Genomic DNA, 25,633 nt, shown 5'->3' with positions numbered 1-25,633 from the left:
AGGCTCAGCTTGCTGGTGCCTGCCACTCATCTCGTGCTCTGCAGCCCTGGGGTTGCAGACCCCTGGTCTAGCCTACTACATACCTAGGCTATATGGTATAACCTCTTGTTCCTAGGCTACAAATGTGTACAGCATGTTACCTCACTGAACAGGTAATTGTAACATCAGTATTTGTGTATCTAAACATAAGTAAACATATAAAATGGTATACCTGTGTAGGGTACTTACCATGAATGAAGCTTACAGGAATGGAAGTTGCTCTGGGTGAGTCTAAGTGAGTGGTGAGTGAATGTGAGGCCCTGAGACATTATACTACTGTAGGCTTTATAAACACTGTATAGTTAGGCTACACTAAATTTATTTAAAACTATTTTTCTTTCTTCAATAATAAATTAACCTTAACTTACTATAATGTTTTTACTTTAAAATATTTTAAACTTTTTAAAATGTTTTAATAATAACACTTATCTAGAACACAAACACATTGCACAGCTGTACAAAAATATTTCCTTTCTTTATATCCTTATTCAGTAATCTTTTTTCTGTTTTTAAGTTATTTATTTATTTTTACTTTTTAAACTTTTTTTTGTTAAAAACTAAGACACAAAGTTATACATTTACCTAGGCCTACACAGGGTCAGGATCCTCAGTATCCCTGTCTTCCACCTCCACATCTTGTCCCACTGGAAAACCTTCAGGGGCAGTACCATGCATGGAGCTGTTGTCTCCTGTGATAACAGTGCCTTCTTTTGGAACATCTGCAGGACCTAAATGAGGCTGTTTTTACAGTTAGCTTTGTTTTTTTTTTTTTGGTATGTGTAGAAGAAATACACTTTGAAATAATGATAAAAAGTATAGTATAGAAAATACATAAACAGTAACATATTTGATGTTTACTATCATTGTCAAGTATTATGGACTGTACATACATACTTTGTATGACTGGCAGCACAGTAGATTTGTTTGCCTCAGCATTACACCAACACATGAGTAATGCTCTGTGCTAAGATATTACATCATTAGGCAGTAGAAAGTTTTCAGCTCCATTATAATGTTATGGGGCCACCAATGTATATGCAATCTGTTTCTTACTGAAACATAATTAGATGATGCATAACTATTACATTATCTTATATTTTATTATATATTAGACAATATGGAGATATTGAAGATTCTTGAGGAGAGGATCGACATGTTTAAAGTTATGTTGAAAGTTTAGTCTCATTGAGGGCCGGGTGTGGTAGCTCATGCCTGTAATACCGGCACTTTGGGAGGCCGAGGGGAGCGGATCACTGGAGGTCAGGAGTTTGAGACCAGCTTGGCCAACATGGCGAAACCCCATCTCTGCTAAAAAAACATACAAAATTTAGCTGGGCCTGTAATCCCAGCTACTCAAAATATATTTGTTAGGGAAGAACCATGTTATTATTATATGCTCTTTATTAGAGTACATAAAAATAAACATGATATATAAATTTATATTATATAGTATTAATATAACATATTAATGTATATAAATATATTTTTGTTGTTTTAGAGGAATTCCAGGGAAGAAATGTGGTACAATCATACTTACAGCAGAGGAATTAAACTGTTGCAGGGTAAGTAAATATTTCTTTGGTTTAGAAAATACTTCCATACTTCAAATGCTATATCTAAAATTGTACTTAACTAATTAATTTTTAAGTAATTGTAGCAAAAGTGTTATACAATTTTATAACCCATAAAATATCATTTTAGGTACTTAGCCCTATGACCAGAGAGACTGTATTTCATAGTCTGAAAAGTATAATTAGTTATTTTAATAATCTTTTTAAGGAATTGAAAGTATTAAAATAACACCTAATATCAATACTGCTTTTTAAGCATTAGTATAAGGAATAGTCAGTTATACCAATCAGTTCAATTACTGCAAACTTTTTTGCAGTATTTTTGAAGATCTGTGTGTAATCCTGAAGGAATATTTCTTGTCATTTGAGTTTACCCCATTTGTATAAGATATTTTCCCCAATTTTTCTAATTTAATTAATCCAGAATTTATATTGGTTCCATCTCTTGTTAGCTTGGGAAGTCCACATTTGAAGAAAGGATTAGCTGCCACTACAGCTAGCAGTATGACTACAGAGAGTGCATACTCTGTATTTTTAGAACATTGCTACTTTCAGTTGTGATTTGCTGATGCACCCATTGACTCATGATTAATGATTTCACTGTTGTCAAGAAATGGGGTGATAGCTATGACACTCCAGACTGAAAGTAACAATGACCAGCTTAATCTGAAGTCAATATTGTCTGTTTAATGTGGGCCAGCAGATCTCTGGGAATTGGTATTTCCAGAGGAAAAAAATTTTCCCTAGATTACCTCTAGTGCTCTTTACTTTTAGTTGCTGCTTGATTGTAGGAACAGAAACTCACCCCAAATACCAAAAGCTTAACATTTTGACATTGACCAGAGTTTTTATAGAGAGAGCCATAGTTTATTTTATTATCTCAAAAAGTTGTCTTTTTAACTTTTAGATAAATTCTGTAGCTTTATTTACATAATACATTTCTGGTGGGACATGGTGGCTCATGCCTGTAATCTCAGCCTTTGGGAGGCCAAGGTGGGAGGATCACTTGAGCCCAGGAATTCAAGGCTGCCGTGAGCTATTGTGCCACTGCACTCCAGCCTGGGCAACAGAGCAAGACCTTGTCTCAAATATATGTATATATTATATCTCTCAAATATAGATAGATGATCAATAGATAGATAGATAGATAGTTGAGATAATATGCTCAGGGAATCATATGATATTGTCAGCAAATGATAGAAACTGGGTATTACAGCTGATTACATACCTTTGGGATTCTGGGGGCAGGAGTAGAACAGTGAGATAACAATAGGAACTATAATAACAGATGAGTGGAAATAGTTAAACACTAATATTATAATTTAAGTCATTTAAAAAACATGTAAATTGAAGCCTTTCTGTTGTTGTGCTCATTGTCTTTGTCCCCCTGGGCATGTCACGGTCATATCAGTCTCACTTTTCTCATCTAAAAAATACCCCAACATGCCCACATATAATGCTGTTAAAGACTATCAGACTCAAGTTTTGGTTTTGCTACTAATTTGTACTTTGTCTAATCAAGACACTTGACTACTTACTCTGTGTTTTACTTTTCGTATTTGAAGGGCAATAAACCAAAAAATGTGAACTAATCACTAGACTATTTAAAAAAAAAATCTTCCAGTCCTGGCAATTAACTACCATAACATTAAGTTTGATACTATAATGTACATAAAAGTAGTTTGCATATACTACCCAGTGCCTTAGAAAATATAGCATAATTATTTAAATGCAGCGATATTACCTATCCTATTTTTTTAGTTAAAATGATACAATGATTTTTTAAATTATATTATCATCTAATCATCATTTATACTTGTCTCAATTTGTAAATGTTTCAAATAATATATGTTTTGTATGATAAAGGAGGAAAGAAAAAAGGAAGTTCACAGTCAATAAGATACATGTTCTTTTTGGTGATATTAACATGCTATTTTGTCAAAATCTTGAGTTTATTGAGCAGATTTTATGTAAATGTGTCATGAATACAGTACTATCTGTTCTATTTCAAAGTAGAGCCAAGATACCAAGACACAGGTTGAGTATGGACAGGCTGCATCCTAAATATCTTCCACTTTCAGTTCTACTCTCTTGTTGGAAGAGCCGGGAAAATTCTTTTACCAGGCCTTAGTAAATGAAAGGGAATGTGTCATTTAGTGGTCTAGGTATTTTTATCCCTCTTTTTACAATTAATTCAATAACATCTGGAATTATCTTTCAATGAGTCAATACATATTTCTCATACTTAGAAATTATAGTTTAATATTTTTATCAATATTGTTTAAAATCTTGGTGTAACTTCATCTTATGTTTTCTATGTCCTGATTCCTGGCTATAGCCTTATTGATCATCAGCATCATTATTAATACTAATAAACTTGAAATAGTATTTCATTACTACATTAGTATAGTAGAATGCACAAGTGTACTCAAAGAAATGTTCATAGTTACTTCAGAAGAATCAATGCTTTTTAAATTTATACTTTAGGGAACATTAAAAGTATTGGGCATTATTATTTATAATGTTGAATGCAATCATTTTAATTCACCTACAACATCATAAAAATCTACATTTTTCTTTAAAACGAGTTGTCAGTTATTAACTTGTACAATGAACATAAGCTTTAGAGTCAGCTCACCTACATTTTAGTCTTACCTTTTTCACTATTTAGCCGAGTGAGGTTATATTGTTGAAGCTTTAAGTTATGCATTTGTAAAATGACAATTTTTTTAAACCAGTTTATTAGGTATAATTGGCATACAAATAACTGGACATATTTAATGTATACATCATGATGAGTCTGGAGACAGGTATATACCCATGAAACCATCACCACAATCAATGTCATATATTAGTCACTTACAATGGTTCCCCCTACCCTGCTTATTTATTATTAATATTTTTGTGATAATAAACAGCATAAGATTTACCCTTTCAGCAGATTTTTAAATATACAGTGCAGTATTGTTAACCATAGGTACTATACTGTATATAGTAGATCTCTATGACTTATTCATCTTACATAACTGAAATTTTGTGCTCCTTGATAATACCTTCCAGTTTCTTCTTCCCCTCAATCCCGGGAAACCATCATTCTACTCCCTGCTTCTATAATTTTGACTATTTTAGAATCCTCATGTAAGTTACAATATGTAGTATTTATCTTTTTATGGCTGTCTTATTTCACTTATATAGTGTCTTCCAGGCTCATCTATCTTGTTGCAAATGGATGGATGTTCTTCCTTTTTAAGGCTGAATAATATTCCATTGTTTTACATATATATGTGTGTGTGTGTGTGTATAAATTTTATATATATATAAAACATTTTCTGTATCTATTCATCTGTTGATGGACACTTCATTTGCTTCAATATCTTGACTTATTTGTGTATAATGCTAGAATAAACATGGGAGTTCAGATATCTCTTCAAGATACTGATTTCAGTCTCTTTCTTTGGATATATACCCAGAAGTGGGATTGCTGGATCATACAGTAGTGCTGCTTTTAATTTTTGAGGAACCTCCTACTATTTTCCACAGTGGCTGCACTAATTTGCATTCCTAGCAACAGTGTACAAGGGTTTCCTTTTCTCTACATCCTCACTGACACTGCTTCCTTTTGCGTTTGTTTTTTGATAGTAGGCATTCTAACAGGCGTGAGCTAATCTTTTGTATGGATTTGCATTTCTCTGATGATTGGTGATGTTGAGCACCTTTCATATGTGTGTTGGTCATTTGTATGTCCTTAGAGATATGCTTATTCAGGTTCTTAGCCCATTTTTAAATTGGGTTGATTTTCTATTTTTTATTTTTATTTATTTTTAGTTTTTGCAGTATTTTTGAAGATTTGTAGGAGTTCCTTATATATTTTGGAAATTAACCTTTATAGTATACAGTATCTTAGTCCATTTTGTGTTGCAATAAAAGAATATCTGAGAGTAGGTAACTTATTTTTAAAAAGAAGTTTATTTAGCTCACTCTTCTACCAGCTGAGAAGCTCAAGAGCATGGTACTGGCTTGTGGTAAGGGCTTTCATACTGTTTCACATTGTGGCAGAGAAAGTGAAAGTGGAAGCAGACATTTGTGAACATAGGGACACCTGAGGGGCACCCTAGCTTTATAAAAACCCACTCTTAATAGAATGAACTCATTCTGAGAGAATTAATCCAGTCTCATTCAAGACTGTGAAAGCAGCACCTACCTATTTATGAGGGATTCACACCCATAACCCAAACACCTTCCATGGGGCCCCACCTCCCAGCACTGTCACACTGGTGATCAAATTTCGATATGAGCTTTGGTAGGGACAAACAAGTCATAGCAACCACAGCATATTTTCTCCCATTCTGTAGGTTGCCTTTTCATTCTGTTGATTGTTTCCTTTGCTGAGCAGAAGCTTTGTAGTTTGATGCAGTCCCACGTGTATTTTTGCTTTTGTGGCCTATGCTTTTGTATCATATCCAAGAAATAATATCCAAGGCCAATATCACAAGGCTCTATGTTTTCTTCTAAAAATGGGAATATTATTAATTCTTCCTTTAGATGGATACTCTATAGGAAAGAAATGGTAGCATTTAAGGGATGTATAGGTCATAAATTTATACAAATATTTATTTGTAGTGTAATAATCCTAATTATCTCAACTTATTTTGATACAGTTTTATTCAAATGCAAATTTTATATTTAATTAAATGCCACAGTAAAAACTAATGTAGTTTAGAAATTATGTTGGGAGTGTATCTTCAATCAGTATTTTTTTTTTAAATACGGGGTCTCACTCTATTGCCCAGGCTGAAGTGCAGTGGCACAATTTTGGCTAACTGCAGGCTTTGAGCTCCTGGGCTCAAGTGATTCTCCCACCTCAGTCTCCCTCCTAGCTGGGAACATAGGCAGGCACCGCCACACCTGGCTAATTTTTTTTTTTTTTTTTGATAGAGATGTGGTCTCACTGTGTTGTCCAGGCTGGTCTTGAACTCCCAGACTCAAGTGATCCAAGCCCCCCTTGCCCTCCCAAAGCGCTGGGGTTACAGTCATGAGCCGCTATGCCTGGCCTTTTATGTAGTATTTTAAAAGTAGCTTGAAATTTTTCATAAAGTATATTTTTTGTTTTTATTTATTGATTGATTGAACAGTGTTTACAAAATGTTATTATGTCCTTGGAATGAATGCTTAGAATAGAATGGCAAGAAAAAAACAGTACAAAACACAACACCACAACCCCCAAACCTGGTCCTTGTTTTTAATGAACACATAGTTTGTGGGAAAGAGAGACATTAGTCGGCTGACTATGCAGGTAATATATGTCATGATATGTGACAAGTGATTCAAATATATTATGAGAGTACAGCAGGGATCTAATTTATATTAAGCCTTGGGGGAATCACTGGGCCTCTTTGAGAAAGTGACATTTAAGCTAAGACCTAAAGAAGGAGTAGTGTTTGCCAGCCCAAGGATAAGAATTCCAGCAGACACAGCTGTATAAGGTCCTGAGGTGGGAAAGGCATGTGTGGGTCCGATGTGAGATGGCCAGGGGTGAGCAGTGGGAGTTGATTGAGCTAAAACATTGCCAGTTGAAGGTGGAAAAGGCTGGTCAGAACCCATTAGATGTTGGCCTTTGCGGACCATGTTAAAGGTTCTGCATTTTTCCTAAATGCAAGGGAAAGCCTTAAAGCATTTTAAGTTGTGAGCAACATGAATTTTTCATGTTTCAAGACTTTTATTCTGTCTGCTGAATGGAGAATGGATTGGATACATCAAAGAGTCGAAGTGGGAGTAAGGAATAAATGTCAATGAACATGTCTGGGTGAGAAATAAGATTGAACTGGACTGAGGTGGTGGCAGCAGAGCCAAAGTAAAGATTTGAGCAAAATTTTAGAGGTAAATGATGCAACTGGTGGTGGACTGGATAAAGGATCAGGAAAATAGAAGAGTCAAGGATGGCTTCTTTGGGCACTTGAGTGAATGACAATGCCACTAACTGAGCTGGGAAAATTATAGGAGAAGCAAGTTTATGGATAGACGTTAGATGTTCAGATTGGAATATGTTAGAAGTGCCTGTGAAACATCCAAGTGGCTTTATGCAATAGAATGGTCCTTATATGTGGAGTATTAAAGAGAGGTCTTAAAAAATGTATTAGGTGACATTAAGCATAAGGCATAAAAACAAAGCAAAACAAAACAAAACTTTGCAGTGATGCTAGTGTATTTCTAAAAGTATATAAATACTTTTCCTCTCAAACAAGATGTATTTTGTGCTTAATACAAATGTACCATTTAATCCCTGCTAAGTTGTTAACCTGAGTAATTGCAAGAACATTATTTTTCCTAAGGTTATATAATTTTCTTCATTGAAATAAATCTTTATTTTGAATCAGTTATTCATTTTGCAAGCCCTAAGGGATATAATTTGAAAAATTAAATTTAGTATTACATTTACCAGTGAGCCTATGAAAATTCATGCTTTTATAATAATACACCTCTGATGTTTTATTCACAATCTATTTGAAATAAACACATTTCATTTATCTATTATGCATTGTAAGTATACAGAATGTTTCTTGGAAGTTTATATTTTGGTCCAGGTGCTTTGGGAGAAATGTGTTAAAGTGTAATGTTTTTCTGCAAGAACAATGTCCTTGGAATGTCCCCATGTTCTTAGAAAGCCATTCTCTCCCAAGGGCATTTAAATATATATGGAAATGAAGGGGCATTCAAAATAAACAAACTAAACCAAACAGCTCGCCTTTTCAATGCTGCCTTTGATTTTATAATTTGATCATCCAGAATGATTATTTCACTACTTCTATAATAGATAGTATAGAACTTTTTGATCTTTAAACCTCTAATTTAAAAAGAACATGATATGCTTGAGAGGTTTGAGGTGATAGTGATGTCCATATTGTCCTTACCTCTATTGTCACTATACGTTGCTAGAATGTATTTCCTGCTCTGTTATAAATGTTCCTCTGATAGAAGTTATCACAGCTACATGCTACAAGTAAAATCAAATAATACTATACCAATACTTTTGAAAATGTGAAATTAAGAAATCTGACCTTTCCAAGGGTAGATACTGCCTTGTTCATTACCCTATTCCAAGATTCTAGCTTGACTATTGCTTGCTAAATGTTTGCTAAGTAAGAAAATGAGTGAATGAATGAATGATAAAGGTAGCATCATGTTTTGTGTAGTCTTCTGGAATTACTGAAAGGAAATAATTAAAAGTTTAGGTGTATACTTAGTAAGTATTGCTGGACTCTGTAAGATAAAGAAGTGATGAATAAGGGAATGCTTTTTCAGACATTGTTAACATTTTATCACATAATATTCAAAATTGTAACCTCTTTGTTTAATCTGAGTTACTTTGCCACTTCACCTCTTTCCAACATTTTAAGCTTTCCTGTTCAGTTAAAAAACACACAAGCCTGTAATCCCAGCTCTTCGGGAGGCTGAGGCAGGCGGATCACGAGGTCAGGAGATAGAGACCATCATGGCTAACACGGTGAAACCCCGTCTCTGCTAAAAAAAAAAAATACAAAAAAATTAGCCGGGCGTGGCAGCGTGTGCCTGTAGTCCCAGCTACTCAGGATGCTGAGGCAGGAGAATGGGGAGAACCCAGGAGATGGAGCTTGCAGTGAGCCGAGATCATGCCACTGCACTCCAGCCTGGTGACAGAGCAAGACTCCGTCTCAAACAGAAACAAAAACAAAAACAACACACATACACACAAAACCCCACAAAACTATTTATTTTGATTTTAAATAACAATACATTTTCTACTTTAAAAATGGTTATCAATAATGTGTTATGATACCCTAGCTTGTTTTCCTTTAAATCATGTAGCTGCGAGTGTTTGAGTACATAAATTGGTTTAAATGATCGATTTGACATAATAATTAACATGCAAATTGTAATTTCAGTTACAGAAGAAAATTGTTTTTAAATGTAGTTACTGATTCATTATACTACACTTGTATATGATTAAGAAAGTAGGAACTTTTCTGTCTCCAGATTATAAACTATGTGGTCAATGTTTATCTTTCTTATTCCCCATCTAATCATCTAGTACATCTCAACATTTTATACATACTAGATATGTAGTAAAAATTTAGTAAATATTTCCTTAATGAACAGGAATTTTTTTAACTATGTTCTAAAAATGTGTACCTGTATAACTGAAGATATGAATGAGGATCCTATATTATAAAATTGAGTACCTGGCATCACCTAGCTTAATATCACTTTTCAAAGGAAAAATGTTAAAAGTTTTTGAAAAGTAATAGTTTTGTAATTAGAATGAAAATTACCAGCAAAATTTTTAAAGTCATATAACCCTTTAAAAAGCAATTTTATGTTGTCTGGGATTCTCCCAAACTTGGCCATTTGCATTAAAATAGCAAATATGTTTTCTTGTCAAGTCTTGTTTCTGATCTGCAGTTTCTAGTTATTTATAGCCCAAATCTTGAACTGTTTTATTAATTTTGTTTTTAGGATGCCGTTTTGATGCAATTTTGTGCGAACAAATTGGACAAGAAGGACTTCTTTGGAAAATCAGATCCTTTCCTTGTATTTTATCGAAGTAATGAAGATGGCAGGTAGATTTATCTTTTATGCATTTCAACTATATGGTAATGATGATACTTGAATTATAATTATTTTTCTCAGAGAAGCTCATTAAATTGATAAATGAAGTAAAATAGTTTGAGATTTTAAAAATTGATATGATTTTTGCATCTCAAAATATTGTGCAACTTTATAAACATTTTATGTTTTGTCTGATACTTAAAATGAAAAATTTCTAGTTTCATAGAAATATTTCCTCTTTATTTGTTATACAATTATAACATTGAGTTAATAGTTTAGAAGAATTATATTTTGTGAAAACCTGAATGCTGAAACAAATATATTTTGTTACAGATTTGAACCAAAACCATTTTCTTAGAGAAGGATATGGAGCTTGTGGGTTTTTTTTGCCAATAATATCTGAGACTAACTTTCAGTAAAAATGTTCATTATATTCTAGTAATTTGAATACTTTTGCCAGTTATGATTAGACTAGTTTCTATAAATTTTGAATATGTCCTTATGAGTTATAGACCATAATTTAATATGTATGGCTCTGCTATTAAATATATCTGACTTGTTTTTTGTGATTCATATTGTACTATTAGTATTTGTGAGAATGTTTAGTTGTTAATAATATGGCTAATTTCTGTTGTCTAGATTTAAATAATAACCTTGCTACTTAATAGCTATAGTACTATGGCAAGTTTTTAATGTATGTGAGATTCCGTTTTCTCCTCACCTGTAAAATGGGGTAGTAATCATAGCTACCTCACAGGGTTGTTGATCAGATTAAATTAGTTACTATACAAAAAATTACTAAGTTTGTCCAACACATAAGAAGAACTTAAACATTAGCTAATATTATTATTATGTATAGTTAATATTTTCTTTTTTGTTTTTTTAACTATGTGTAATATATCAGCTAAAGAGAACATGTTATTTGGAAATTAAAAATGAGGGGAATAGAATGGGAAAAAATGCTGCACTTATATATGAAACTATACAATATGTTGTTATATAATAAGTATCAAATGTTGCATAATATAGACAGTTTGCTATTCACAGTGAATGCACTGGCCAGTTTAAAATGATGGTCTACTTATTGGGAGATGTTTGTTGATGCAGCTACTGAGCAACTGTTGGATATATTTGCTATAGTGTTATACTATTAGATTTTGTGTATTTCCCTTCTTTTTGATGGTAAAAATGTCAGTGTCATAGCATCTGAACACTAATTTTATTCATAAGAAAAATGTTGCAGAGTGAAGAAAATAATATTTGCCAGGCATTTCGAAAATAGAGGAAAACCTCAAGAATGATTCTGAATTTCTTGAATGAAAATGTTCTTATGAACTACTTGCTCCCTGGATTTTCTATTTTTATTCTTATTAGTTTTCTTCATAAAGATTAGTTGTACAATTGTAAAATTTCACTTTATCACACATCTAATGCTCCTGGTGATACTTTTATTAAAAAATGTATTATGCTTGTAAAAATGATGTTCACGGCCAGGCGCGGTGGCTCACGCCTGTAATCCCAGCACTGTAGGAGGCCGAGGCAGGCGGATCACGAGGTCAAGAGATCGAGACCATCCTGGTCAACATGGTGAAACCCTGTCTCTACTAAAAATACAAAAAATTAGCTGGGCGTGGTGGCAGGTGCCAGTAATGCCAGCTACTTGGGAGGCTGAGGCAGGAGAATTGCTTGAACCTGGGAGGCGGAGGTTGCAGTGAGCCAAGATCGTGCCATTGCACTCTAGCCTGGGCAAAAAGAGTGAAACTCCATCTTAAAAAAAAAAAATAAAAAAAGATGTTCACTCATTAAATAAAATCTAAATATTAAGAAAAATACAACTAATCCAAAAATGTCAACTAATTTGAAAAAACTATTTTTAAAAGTTGGTGAATCTCATTTCAGAAAACTTTTCATTTATATTTACACACAGAAACCTAGTTTGCCAGCTCGATCCAGATATTTTATGTATGTGTACGCACACATAGGCTTTGTTGTATTTTGAGTGTATACAGATGCTTTTACGCCTCACTTTTTGTCTCCATTTTTAACTGCAAAGATTCTAGCTTTATTTTAAATATTTTTTTAATATGGGACTATTTCAAAAATTGCCTAATACCTAGTGTATTTGTGGCTTATTTCGTAAGAAAGACAAAAACTTAATTTCTACTGGAAGTATTAATTAAAAGCCTTCATACTTATGATCTTATACTCATGTTCTTGCTTTGACATTTATTTAGTAGCGTGATATTTATATATGATTGGGTAATAATTTTCCTTTGGAATAGCTATTTTTGGTAAATGGCCTCACTTAAAGTATCTTAATACCAGTTATTCAATAAAAATATATTTTTATAATACTATTTGTAACACACACATTATATTTATATAGAAATATTTCTGAATGTTAGGCAAAGCTACATTGGACTCCTGGCAGAATTTTTATGAGTTACACCAGCACTGGAATTCTTACCAGTGAGGTTTTCCTATATATATGATATCTAATACATTAGAAATGAGAATGATTAATAGGCAATAAATGACTGCCTGCCTCATAAATATCTCAGTAAGAAGGACATGCCTTCCCTCAGAGGAAATGTTTCAAGTGTCAAAAGTATTTAATTACTGCAGCTGGTGACACTAGGAATATAAGAGAAATTTTGATTTAACCATAAGCAAAGAGGCCAAAAAGTCAGTAGACAGTTGAACATGTTGGTCTGAAGATGGTCAGTTGGTCTCTCAGTCTAGTCTCTCTCTCTGTCTCTCTTTTTCTCTCTCTCTCTCTCTCTTCCTGTCATCTATCTAGATATCATCTATTTAGCTATCTGTATCTATCACCATACCAAAGACTTGCTATATATTAGAATATGATACAAGAGAAGAAATTCCCTTTGCAGATCTTTAAGAATGTATTTTATTTTTATGAATGTATCTTAATGAATATATTGTTTCTGAAACAAACCAACATACAGCTCTGCCTTCCCTCTGTAATTTGTTTTCTATGACTTTTTCTTTTTTTTTTTTTTTTTTTTTTTGAGACGGAGTCTCGCTCTGTCGCCCAGGCTGGAGTGCAGTGGCGGGATCTCGGCTCACTGCAAGCTCCGCCTCCCGGGTTCACGCCATTCTCCTGCCTCAGCCTCCCAAGTAGCTGGGACTACAGGCGCCCGCCACTACGCCCGGCTAATTTTTTGTATTTTTAGTAGAGACGGGGTTTCACCGTTTTAGCCGGGATGGTCTCGATCTCCTGACCTCGTGATCCGCCCGCCTCGGCCTCCCAAAGTGCTGGGATTACAGGCGTGAGCTACTGCGCCCGGCCTATGACTTTTTCTTAAAAATTTTTTGGTACCTTTGCCTTTTCTCTGTGTTCTGAGCCCCTACAGCCCTCCCCTAACTTGCCCTATCCACTTTGATTTTCTTCTTCTGCTTTAGACATCTTCATTACCCTTCAAGAGTCTTCTCTGTCTGCCCCTCTGTCTTACTTGTAATGCCTTTTCCCCCATTGACTCCTAAATTGCTTCAGGTGAGTCAGCTCTGAGAACATTTGACCATAGATACATTTTCCTGGGCTCTGTCAATTTAATGACACGAGTTTCCTTAGATGAGTGAGGATACTGCCTGGAAGGAGAAGGCACGGATGCCGTTAAGTCTTGTAATAAAAACTTGATCCTTTCATAAAGTATTATGTTTCTATCTTATCTCTTAATAGAAACAAATCCCTCTTATTTGAGAGTAGGAAAATGAACTTGAGGACTTATCAAAGGGGGGATATTTCATCATGGGGGTTAGGGGCAGTATATTCACTATGGTATTTATTAATATTTTCATGTGTCATTACTGTTAGATAATTGCATTTGAAACACTTTATGACTAAGGTCTTGATGAAGTTTTATGTATTGTTTCAGTGAAGATCACTTTGAATGCTTCTAGCTCAGAAACTGCTGCATAAATTCACATGAAGGAAGAACATTTCCAGGAGCTGATTGATGTCTTAAGATTGAATAGTTTTGTGGAAATGACACTGGAATTTGAATCAGAAAACCGAGCTTAAGGCTTCATGAATTCTGCCCCATATTGTGAATTGCTGTCTTTCTTCCCTTAGGAATTCTTTAGATATATAGAACCAATAGTTTAGATAAAGAAAGAACCCACACACTAAATGGTCTTTCTATAGATTCATGACGTGATGTTAAACTTAAATGGGCCCTTGGGGCTCCCGAGGAATTCTACTCCTTTTTTCCTAATCTATGAACATTTTCTTTATCCCAGACACTTTATCACTTATGTCTCATCCTCCTTCTTTGCTCATTGTCATGCATCCTCTTTCATAAGAAAATGGTGGCAATTGGAGAGCTTCCTCATGATCCCACCACATCAACCCATTTACTCTGCCTTCCTGAATGTTCTTGCAGAATGACTGTCTGGCCTCTCAAGGGCAGCTCCTCCACTGATGCTCAGGATCCCATCTACTCTCACCTGCTTAAAAGACATTGCTCCCGGCTGGGCACAGTGGCTCACGCCTGTAATCCCAGCACTTTGAGAGGGCGGGGCAGGTGGATCATGAGGTCAGGAGTTCAAGACGAGCTGGGCCAAGATGGTGCAACATCGTCTCTACTAAAAATACAAAAATTAGTTGGGTGCAGTGGCAGGCGCCTGTAATCCCAGCTACTCGGAAAGCTGAGGCAGGAGGATTGCATGAACCCGGGCGGCAGAGGTTGCAGTGAGCCAAGATCACGCCGCTGCACTCCAGCCTGGGCGACAGAGACTCCGTCTCAAAAACAAATAAACAAACAAAACAAAAACATTGCTCCCACCTTTCTCTCATGCATCAGAAGTGGCTTCCTTTCTGCCAGATCTTTTCCTTTACCAGACAACCTTGCTGTTATTTCTTCCATCTTGAAAACAAAAATTAAAAGTAAAAACAAGAACACCAAAAACCTTTCCTGTGATTAATCCTTTCTTTTCCCTTAAATTAGCCTAACTTTTTTCTTTTTCTTCACAGCTAGACTAAAAGTTCACACACTGTGCCTCAGTTTCTCTTCTCTTTCTTAAACCCACTGTAAAACCAGGTTTTTCTTCTCAACACTCCAACAAAGCTGTTCTTCTCAAAGTTGCTGGTGATCCTCATATTCTTAGGGACCTATGGATATTTTTCACTCCATCAGCATGTCACCACAATTTTTACAGAGATTGTTTACAAAACAACTTTAGGATTTATTGAATTTTCAGATTGTTTTTGGTAAATTTATTGCAAAGTAGGTTATGGTGAGGTGATCTTTCAGGTTTTAAAATCACGTATCTCTTTCCATGAAGTGATGTAGCAGCAACAGCGGAACTGACTATTCTGAACAAAAAGTAAGCAGAGGAATGGCTACTAAAACAATAGATCAATTAAAATAGTCAAAGCATGCAAATAACTGAAAACTCTTTCTTTATAGTTTTACAATTTGTCACAAGACAGAAGTTGTCAAAAACACTCTAAATCCAGTATGGCAAGCATTCAAGATCTCAGTCAGAGCATTATGTAATGGAGACTATGACAGGTAAGAAGGATAGTTTATTCAAAAATCTTCAAATAACTTTTAAAAAAATCTACAGTGATTTGAGGAAGTGGGATAAGTTGGCTAATTAAAATTTGGTTAAACTTATTTTCCAAAAATGAAAATATTTAAATGCTAAAATACGTTGCATATTTGCTTTAAATTTTAATTTATTATTCAAAAGTTATTTCAGAATCTTCATTGCCCTAAGCCTTTTCTATGGTACAGTCCTTCTAGAGTGGAACAAGTAGAAACACGAAAGTTGCAACACTATGCTTAGACATATTGTCAACCCTGAAATACTCTTGAAAATGTTATTTGGCATAACTCATGGTTGCTGATTCACAAAAGTTCCATAGTTATAGCACAGGAGATTTTAATGTTTCACAATTAGCTGGGTAAGGTGGTCCTGAGGATTTTCCCACAATATACCTGAAGATTTCTTAATATCAAAGTTTTTTTCTTATGAAACTTTATTGTATGATTATAATATAAAAACCCCATCCATCCCAAAAGAAAAGCAAATGAAAAGTAAAAATCTCAATCTTCATTTTGTTACATATGATAGAAAAATAGTTTAATTAACCCATATCATAGAACTATTATTAAGTTTTCTTTGAAATTTATCATGCCACTTGACTATCATTCTTTTCATTTAATAAGATCATATCTTTATTTTGCTGGACTCATTTTTTCCTAAGAAAGTTCTTAGAAAAGTTCCTAAGAAAGTCATAATGTTCTTCCTGATTAGCAGCATCAGTCAGCATCACCTGGTGATCTCATAGAAATTCAAATTATGTGGCCCCAATCCAGACCTGCTTAATCAGAAACTCCAGGAGAGAGGTCCAATAATCCATGTTTTGACAAGTGCTCCATATGATTCTGATCTTTGCTGAGTTTGAGAAACACTGCTCCAAGACAGTAATTTTCAAGAGCGGAGAAGTGGGTGCATACCATCCCTTTGAGGAGCTCTGTCAAACTGCACATGCTTCCCCTGTAGACTCTCCTTACTCTCTTTAAGGAATCAATGAAGATTTTAGAAGCCTCTTTTAAGATGCGAATTGGATTATAGTAATGAAATTAGCAAAATTAACTTCAAATTCATATGTAAAATCTGCAAGCATACATTGTTTTATCTAAGAAAAACAACTTATTTTTAAATTCTCAACCATACATTATTTTGATCTTACTAAGTAACTTTATGTGTATGTTTTTCTCATGTACAGAACAATCAAAGTAGAGGTGTATGACTGGGACCGAGATGGAAGGTAAGACAGTTCTTATCTTCTTACTCTTGAACTGGGTGTACTTTAAGAGGCACATACATTGAAATGACCACATTTTTAAATTGTAATTTTTAGATGGCATATTTGTTTTGTTTTTCCAAATGTTACTGATGCATTTACATGAAATTTTAAAATGAGCATATTTTCTCCAACCTCGAGATGAAAATAGAGGTTTTTCTTATTTCCAGTAACTTAGTAAAGATTTTCAACTTGAATCTGATGATTATAGATGTCTAGTTTTATAGCTGTAGTGAGTATCAAATTTCTGCATTTCAAAATTTCTCTGAACATTTTTATGACATTGATATCCCATACTTTTCAAGGGAACACAAGTAAGCTTTGCATTCACCAGCCAACTCTGCCTATATACACACACATATATATATATATATACACACCATACAACAAAACTCGAGAATTGTGTCTGGTCATTGCCAGACCAAATAGTTGTTCAGAGCTCTGCAATCACTGTAGTCCTCTGCATATCAAAGTAGATATTAAAGACTAAAAGAGAGGAAACTCATTTTTTTCTTTTTTAAGCATATTTTGTTTCTACTGTCATCTTCGTAGGATGATGATGAGATGTTTGTAAAATGATCTTAAGCCAAGGACCCAGAAATGCTCAAATCCCATTTTGCCCTAGACTGCTGCCTCTCTAGGTGCTCCCTGAAAGGGCTGAATATGTGGGTATCAAAGGAGAATGATAAATGGGAAAGCAAAGGTTACTTTTAATTTTTCAGTCGATGTGTGTCCTAAACTCAAATCCATAGCTCACTGATAAATGGAGCTGAAACATGAGGTTAAAGCTAAATAATGCTTTTCTCTCTGCATTGTGTACAAGCCAGAAACCAACCCCCAAAGGGATGAAAGTGCCTGGATACCTGAACACTCCTGTGAATACAGGAACAAGTTCAAGAAGGCTGGCCTGTGCTGAGGGGGCACCCTCTTCTCTTCCCTTCTGCTGCATTGGCAGAAAGTTGCTCAGTTGCAGAGCCACATGCCAGCATGTGTATGACACTTGCCCATATGCTTACTCACACACACTGTGCAATAAGTGTCCTGGAATTTGATGCAAATAGTATTTTTTTTTTCTTTCAAGAAGTGATAAGAAAAGATGGGGAGGGAAGTGGAGATTATTATTCTACACTTTAGCTGCTACCAAATAAGTATATAAGACTCAAATATTTCAGTCTTTAAGTTGTATCACAAACATTATTATGAAAAAGAGTTATAACACTGATTTGAAGTTTGCTCTTAGAGATAACTTCATAATAATCCATGCTATGCTACTGATCTTTACGTTTCTGCCAGGTATTCATTTGGTTAATGTATTATTTAGTTCTATGTGCATTCTGGAGAAATCTTATCAGAAAACTTTCTATTTTTCCATAGGGATTTATGCTCCATTGCTTTATTAAACTTGATTCACTGAGATAATGAGTTTTGCTGCTCAGAATAATAGAAAAGGAAATAATGCCAATCTGAGTAAAGGACTTTATGCCCTGTATTATATACCCTATTTTATATTTTAATTGTGAATAGGCAAAAGTGGTGGCTTTTCCCTAGTAATTTTTAACCCATTTCCCATTTAGAAACAAAAAGTGCAGCTCACTGCCAGAGCTCCTTTAATTTTGCAAAACACGATACTTGAGGCTGAAGCAAATCTGACTGATTTTCAGTGTGAAAATATAAAAACTGTTTTTGGAGTTATTTCTAAATAGAACTTGTCTCTAATCCTAATGTAACAGAAATGTATGTGATATTACATTAGAATTAGAGACAAGAGTATTTTTGGGCACATGAGAAATGGTTTAAAAGTTTGGGAAATGGTTTTAATTTAACCACTAATAAACAAGGGGTATAAATTTAGGTTTCATCCACATCCATAGACGTTCAATCCTAAATTTGCTGAAATTATAGATATTGTATTGTCTTCCTTCAAATGATGAGTTTCTGTGACTCTCCTATTGTCTCCAATCTATTTCTGAGCCACAAGAATTTTGAATAGCTTTGAAGATCAGAATTACCTTGGAATTTAATTATCTTTTTTCCTGACTTGAGCATTTTGAGCATTCCTATTCAGGATATGATTTATTGAAAGTTTCTAACATACCAGGTATTCTCTAAGCATTTTTAATGTTATTCCTTATTTAATTTTCACAATAAATGATAGGTACTACATTAGTTACCTTTCACAGATAAAGAAACTGAGGCAAAGAAGTAACTTGCCTAAAGTCGCAAAACTAATCAATGGTGGAACCAGGGCTTGAACCCTGGCAGTTCACTTCCAATAGTATATTCATAACTATTGCACTGTCTTTTTTATAGCATTGTAATCGTAATTCCTGGCATTAAGTGAAAGGCTTCAACCTGGACATTGGACTTATTCTGTGATACTTTAATGTGATAGTTATGAAGACTATAAGGAAAATTTAAGAAACAATCTAACATAATTTTTTTATTATCTGAAATTGTATATTGTCTGGAAAAATGGGTAAAGCATTTCTTGGTAACAGTTTTTATGTAACTAGAAGTTAGGTAGAAAGAAATGAGTATTACAGACTCTGAAAGAATCCTAACAGACGTTGAAAGGACCAGTGAAATGTGAAAAAGAGGTGGCTTAGATTAAGCGAATGAGAGCTATAATAAGAGCAAGAATAGAGAGAGAGAGAGAGAGAGAGTTTGTTCACAGATGATTTGTGCCATTAGATAGGAAAAATATTTTTCAACAAGAAATAGTAATTTACTTTTGAGACATCAGATTTAAAAGCAAAGAAACTATTTAGATATTGAGATTTAATAAGCATATTTTGTCATTGGGTCATCAACTGCTTGGGGGGAAGATTGGCAGTGCTGGAGGATATATTAATGCATTTTTAAATACTCATCTTACTATACCATCATTAACAGCATGTTCAAAAGAAGTCTAGGGAGTTAAAGACTGAAAATAAAGGGGTGAGATTAGGAGGGGAAAATTGTTTGGTGAAATTTAAACATTCCTTGGAAATGAATTATATGATTAATAGAATAATTAGGGGAATGGATTTTAATTTTGTAAGTGTAAGTTTAATACCTTTTTAATGTTTGAGTAAAGTGCTCTTTTATTATTCCAAAAATAGATCTATATTTTAATGTAGAAAATTTAGTGTATAATTCTATATAATACATTTTCACCAAGAAACCTTTTTCAATGTTAGCAAAATGATCAGTTTGTGGATGCCATATAAAAAGCAAAATTAAAATAATTCTTGATAACCCTTTTAATTCAATAACTTGTCTTATGTATGAAATTTGAAAGGCGCATTAGTCTCCAATAAAATATAATACATAAAAGTTTTTTAAAATCCAGATATTAATTTTATAATTTAATAATAATGATCACTGTGTGGATTATTATACAAATTGATATGAAGCTTATGATTATGTGTGGTCTAATAAGATGGTTATTACACTTTTTACATGTTTTTTTAATCTGACAAAATTGCCCAATGTAGATTTTTTAAAAACATCAGAGTGACTATGATAGGACTCATTATATTTCATGACATAATGATCAACAGAGACTGTTTCCTATTACTTATTTTTGTATTCCTGTCATCATTAATATTTGTCCTAAATCCTGTACATGTGTCATTTTTTACCCTATTTGTTGATCCAGAACTTTTAATTCTTCTTATTAAAAAACATTATTTGCTCAGTGGATGTTTTTTGAGAACTTGGACTAACATTGTACAATGGAAATATAATGCAAGTCACATATATAATTTTAAATTTTCTAGTGATAACATTACAAAGTAAAAATAAACCAGTGAGATTAATGTACTAATATATTTTATTTAATCCCATGTTTCCAGAATATTGTCATTTTAATATAGAATCAATACAAAATTACTAAGAAGGATTTTTACTTTTTAAAAATACTAAGTCTTTGAAATGTGGTATACATTTTATGTTTACAGCACATCTCAATTCAGACTACCTACATTTGAAGTTACAGCAGCATGTGGCTAGGGGCTGCCATATTGGTTGGTACTACGTAGACTTTAATGAAGTCCATGTAATATGCATCATAAGTAACTTTATATCAGATGAAATGTTTGTCTGCATTTAGTAGAAGTCTAGAATTGACTCCTTATAAAATGGGGAAAAGCTGGTCAGATATCTGTATTATTTTGTATGTAAATTTACTCATAGAAAACCAATAAGGCAATGTGCTCTTTCAATCTAGAGAGAATATGTCAGTCAAATATTAAAGTGGCAGCCAGAGCAATAAAACAAGACCCTGTCTCTATGAAAATAATAAAAACATTAGCTGGGCATGGTGGCGTGTGGCTGTAGTCCTCGCTACTCGGGAGACTGAGGCAGGAAGATGGCTTGAGCCCAGGAGGTTGAGGCTTCAGTCAGCAATGATCATGCTACTGCTTTCTAGCCTGAGTGACAGAGTGAGACCCCTGTCTAAAAAAAAAAAAAAAAAAAGTGGAAAATGCTTTACTTGCTTACAATCACATTTTGTTTTACTAGCTAGAGTATTTCAGACAATTGTTGTAATGATATTCACACAGATTGGGCACTTCAGGGACTGGTGTCCTCTTGTGTCAGAATTCTGATGGCATTTTTAACTAAATTCATCAACTGAAATTAATTCTATAAGAAGCACCTCACAAATCTATGAAGCATACAAAAATGTGGTAATGCTGTTGAGCATGTAACCAGTTGACATTAAATTAGGTATCTTGAGCTAATGTAGAATAGAAGAAATATAGTTACCTGTTCTTTTTTTTTTTTTTTTGAGACGGAGTCTCGCTCTGTCGCCCAGGCTGGAGTGCAGTGGCGGGATCTCGGCTCACTGCAAGCTCCGCCTCCTGGGTTCACGTCATTCTCCTGCCTCAGCCTCCCGAGTAGCTGGGACTACAGGCGCCCGCCACTACGCCCGGCTAATTTTTTGTATTTTTAGTAGAGACGGGGTTTCACCGTTTTAGCCGGGATGGTCTCGATCTCCTGACTTCGTGATCCGCCCGCCTCGGCCTCCCAAAGTGCTGGGATTACAGGCGTGAGCCACCGCGCCCGGCCGTTACCTGTTCTTTTTATTGAAACACATTGACAAGGGTCTGAGAGTTAGAGGCATTGCTTGACATTGGTATTAATAATCAGTTGAAATGTATTTAATTTTCAACAAGTTAAACCACAATGCTAAAATCATTCCTATACTTCTCACTATTTCTTTTTTTTTCTTTTTTTGAGATGGGTGGGGATGAATATTTAAAGCTCACTTTAACAATTGAAAAGCTAAAGTGCTGAGAAACTGCCTTGTGCTGGTTGAAAAGCAATCAGTAGCGGTATCCTTGAAAAGCTTCAATTGCTTGAAGTTTTTTCAGCTGAATTTGTAGCTTAAATTAAAATTCAGGGAGCATTAGTGGAACAGTGCTGCATTAATACCATGTGGTTGTGATGTGGGACTGATTGTAAATGGGCCACCAAGTAGATTCCTGCCTACCAGAAAAATGATGCTTTGATGAAAAGGCTGAGTTAGTGAACTGTCCATCATAAAATCCCCGCTTGTGAACAGAGAGAGTAAAAGTTTCATTTTTACCACTCTGTATTTTATCAAATGTAGTCATTTCAATAATGATATTTATATAATTAAATGCAAACTTCATTTGTCTGCAAAATGCCATACAAATGCTGTCATTTTCTGTTGTTACCTTAGAAGATAATATTTGATCAATGCACTTGATGTTTTCATTCTGGGATTATGCATTATCATGACCAAGTGATTCCTTGCCTATTGCTGAAATGTATTTGTGAATTGTCTAAAACATTAGAACTCATTTAGAAGAAGCATTTGTAAACCTTTTATATTTTTCGTATTTATTTTGTTTCCTCACTTACTCTGTGGAATCTTCCCTTAATGGTAACCTACAATTTGCTTGCAGTTAACCCTGAATATCCTAAACCTGTATTTAACAGGCAAGTTTCAGTCTCTTTTTCTTGTTCCCTTACGTATCACTTCTTTCAGACTTAAAATGTTGATAAATGGAATTTCATAATCTATATGTGATTCATTGACATATCTAGTCTTCCAGCTGCTAAAAATGTAGGTCATGATTTTTCTCAACTCTAGCTTGTGAATTTTTTGTCCCATTTCACTTTAATCTATAATTCTTGCTCTCAAGAAAGACTGATTTAATTATATATGTATCTAGTATACCTGAAGTGGTAATCAATTTTTAACTTCTGTACATCTTCATTTATTTATGACTCAATAGAAATTATATTAATTAATTTATGAAGAAATTGTTATTGAGCACTCATTATGTGTTCAACATTTTTCCAGGTAATATGACTTAACTAAAAACTTCAATCTTTATACAATATTTTAATTTTATTTAATGTGTTTTTTTAATATATATCCACCTGCCTACCTTGAATGGTTTGGGATTCTTTCAGATAATGTTTCAGAGGAAAAGGCTTTTTCTCATTTTCAGTAACATTTTTAAGAAAATTATATAAACGTTCAACACCAGCCCTTTACTAGAAGATCTTTGCAGGATTTTTGAAAGTGGTATTTCAGCCAGTTTCACTGTGCAGTTTTGGTGTTTGTCCTGTGCTCTTCTATCCCACATATTTGCTTGGCTTCACCATTTGGAAAGCCCTTCTGTGTTCATTTTGCCTGTTGATATTCTGTTCAGGTCCGATTTCAGTGCTGTCATTTGTATGAAGGTTTTCCTTGTACATTGAAAGTCATTTAATCCCTCTCTCTTGTGTGTTTACTTTGCCACTTTGGAATGTTTATCAGCATATCTAACACATTATGATTTATATTGAAGTTATTTGTTTCTGCCTTGTCCTTCATATCACAGTAATCGTCTCTTATCTCTGGGGGAATATGTTCCAAGACCCCCAGTGGATGCCTGAAACCATGAATAGTACGGAACTCTTTATATAGCTCTATTTTTTCTTATACGTACATACTGACGTTGAAGTTTAATTTTTACCTTAGGCACAGTAAGAGATGAACAATAATAATAATATAGAACAATTATAATATACTGTAATACAAATTATGTGAATGTGGTCTCTCTCAAAATATCTTATTGTACTGTACTCACCTAACTTACAGGTCATAGTTGACAGCAGGTACCTGAAACCACAAAAAGTGAAACCGTGGTTAAGGGGGCAGGGGTAGGGGAGACTTCTGTAATTATAAACTACCTGAAATCAAGGACTGTGTTTTGTCATATTATTCCTCACAGTGTAGATTATAGTGCCTTTAATGTAGTAGCTTCTTGCTATGTTACTTCAGTAATACAGAAGAGAGGACTTAAAATAGAGCTCTGATATCTTTCTTTTTCTTGCTTGCTTTCTTTTTATTTGAGTTGGAGTCTCACTCTGTCTGTCACCCAGGCTGGAGTGTAGTGGTGTGATCTCAGCTCACTGCAACCTCTGCTTCCCAGATTCAGGTGATTCTCCTGTCTCAGCCTCCTGAGTCGCTGGGATTACTGGTGTCTACCACCATGCCTGGCTAATTTTTGTATTTTTATTAGAGACGGGGTTTCACCATGTTGACCAGGCTTGTCTCAAACTCCTGAGCTCAAGTGATCCACCCGTCTCGGCCTCCCAAAGTGCTGAGATTACAGGCATGAGCCACTACACCCTGCCAGCTCTGATATTTTTCTATATCAACACTCAGTCCTCCATCAATACTTATATCCCCTTTATTTTAAATTATGAAATTACCTTAAATAATATTAGAGCTTTTATTTCTCTGGTGAAACTTCAGATAGTGAGTAATTAATTTAGATGTCATTTTCTTAGTCTTGTTTTCACAATTTGCAGGTACCTTAGATTTTATATTCAGGAATCTATCATCTTTTCTTGTCATTCAGATTAATTACTTTTTCTGCTTTATTCCATATCTAAATACCGATAATGTTCACCAACAGGAGAATTATCAAGTTCAAAACATCAAATAGATTTATATTTTAAATTTTTATTTTTAACCACCTTACTATTTAAATTCATCTCCATTAGAATGTCATCAGTCAAATTTGGAATACAAATTAAATTCTAATTCTGGTATAAGGTGATATTAGAATCTTATGGCTAGAAGAGGCCTTTAGAGTTAACTCTTCGTTTACCAAGAACAGATTGAGCATATTTCTTGATATTTGATGCTGAATGAGTTATATTAATTTCACCACTAAATCTGCCTTTTCTCTCTCAAGTTTTATTCTGTTGTGAGGTTACCAGAGGTGATATTGAAAATATTTATCTGCCATCAAAATAGATGGGAGCTGTACAATGGGAATAGGGTCCTGGGAGGCCTTTTCTTTGCCAGAGCCAGCTTTTTAATTGCTGAATTATGGGGTGGCCCAGGGAGTCCAGGGGAAGGTTCTGGGAAGCTGAGGTAATAGCCAGGCACACAGAAAATGGTGAGCAGTGACTAATTATCAGTGGGAGGGTAGATAGATATCTTTGTATTTTTATATTTACTTTGGCTTTATTGATTTACATCTCTTGAATGTAAGGCCTAGGCATTACTACAACCCGAACCTTGCAGACTGGAGAGATCGTAGCCATATTAACCCTGCCCTTGCTGTCATCCACTAAATCCAATCAGTTG

The 25,633-nt window shown here is 34.4% G+C and overlaps 1 protein-coding gene across 7 annotated transcripts in view; it reads left to right on the top strand.

Moving 5' to 3' along the window:
• Positions 1 to 25,633, top strand: part of CPNE8 (copine 8) — a 254,633-nt gene that overhangs the window by 128,997 nt on the left and 100,003 nt on the right. For all 7 annotated transcript variants that reach the window (XR_245896.5, XR_007063052.1, XM_017018852.2 and 4 more), the window contains exons 7-10: positions 1,538 to 1,601; positions 10,101 to 10,204; positions 15,623 to 15,727; positions 16,951 to 16,992. Coding sequence is in view for 5 of the 7 variants with exons in the window: in NM_153634.3 (NP_705898.1) it covers positions 1,538 to 1,601; positions 10,101 to 10,204; positions 15,623 to 15,727; positions 16,951 to 16,992 (315 nt within the window). In the remaining 2 variants the exon portion in view is untranslated. The remainder of the gene's footprint in view (positions 1 to 1,537; positions 1,602 to 10,100; positions 10,205 to 15,622; positions 15,728 to 16,950; positions 16,993 to 25,633) is intronic.

This window comes from Homo sapiens, chromosome 12, assembly GCF_000001405.40.
Source record: "Homo sapiens chromosome 12, GRCh38.p14 Primary Assembly".
NCBI lineage: Eukaryota > Metazoa > Chordata > Mammalia > Primates > Hominidae > Homo > Homo sapiens.
Note: the sequence above shows the minus strand (reverse complement) of the source record. Positions and strands in the feature narration are given on the sequence as shown.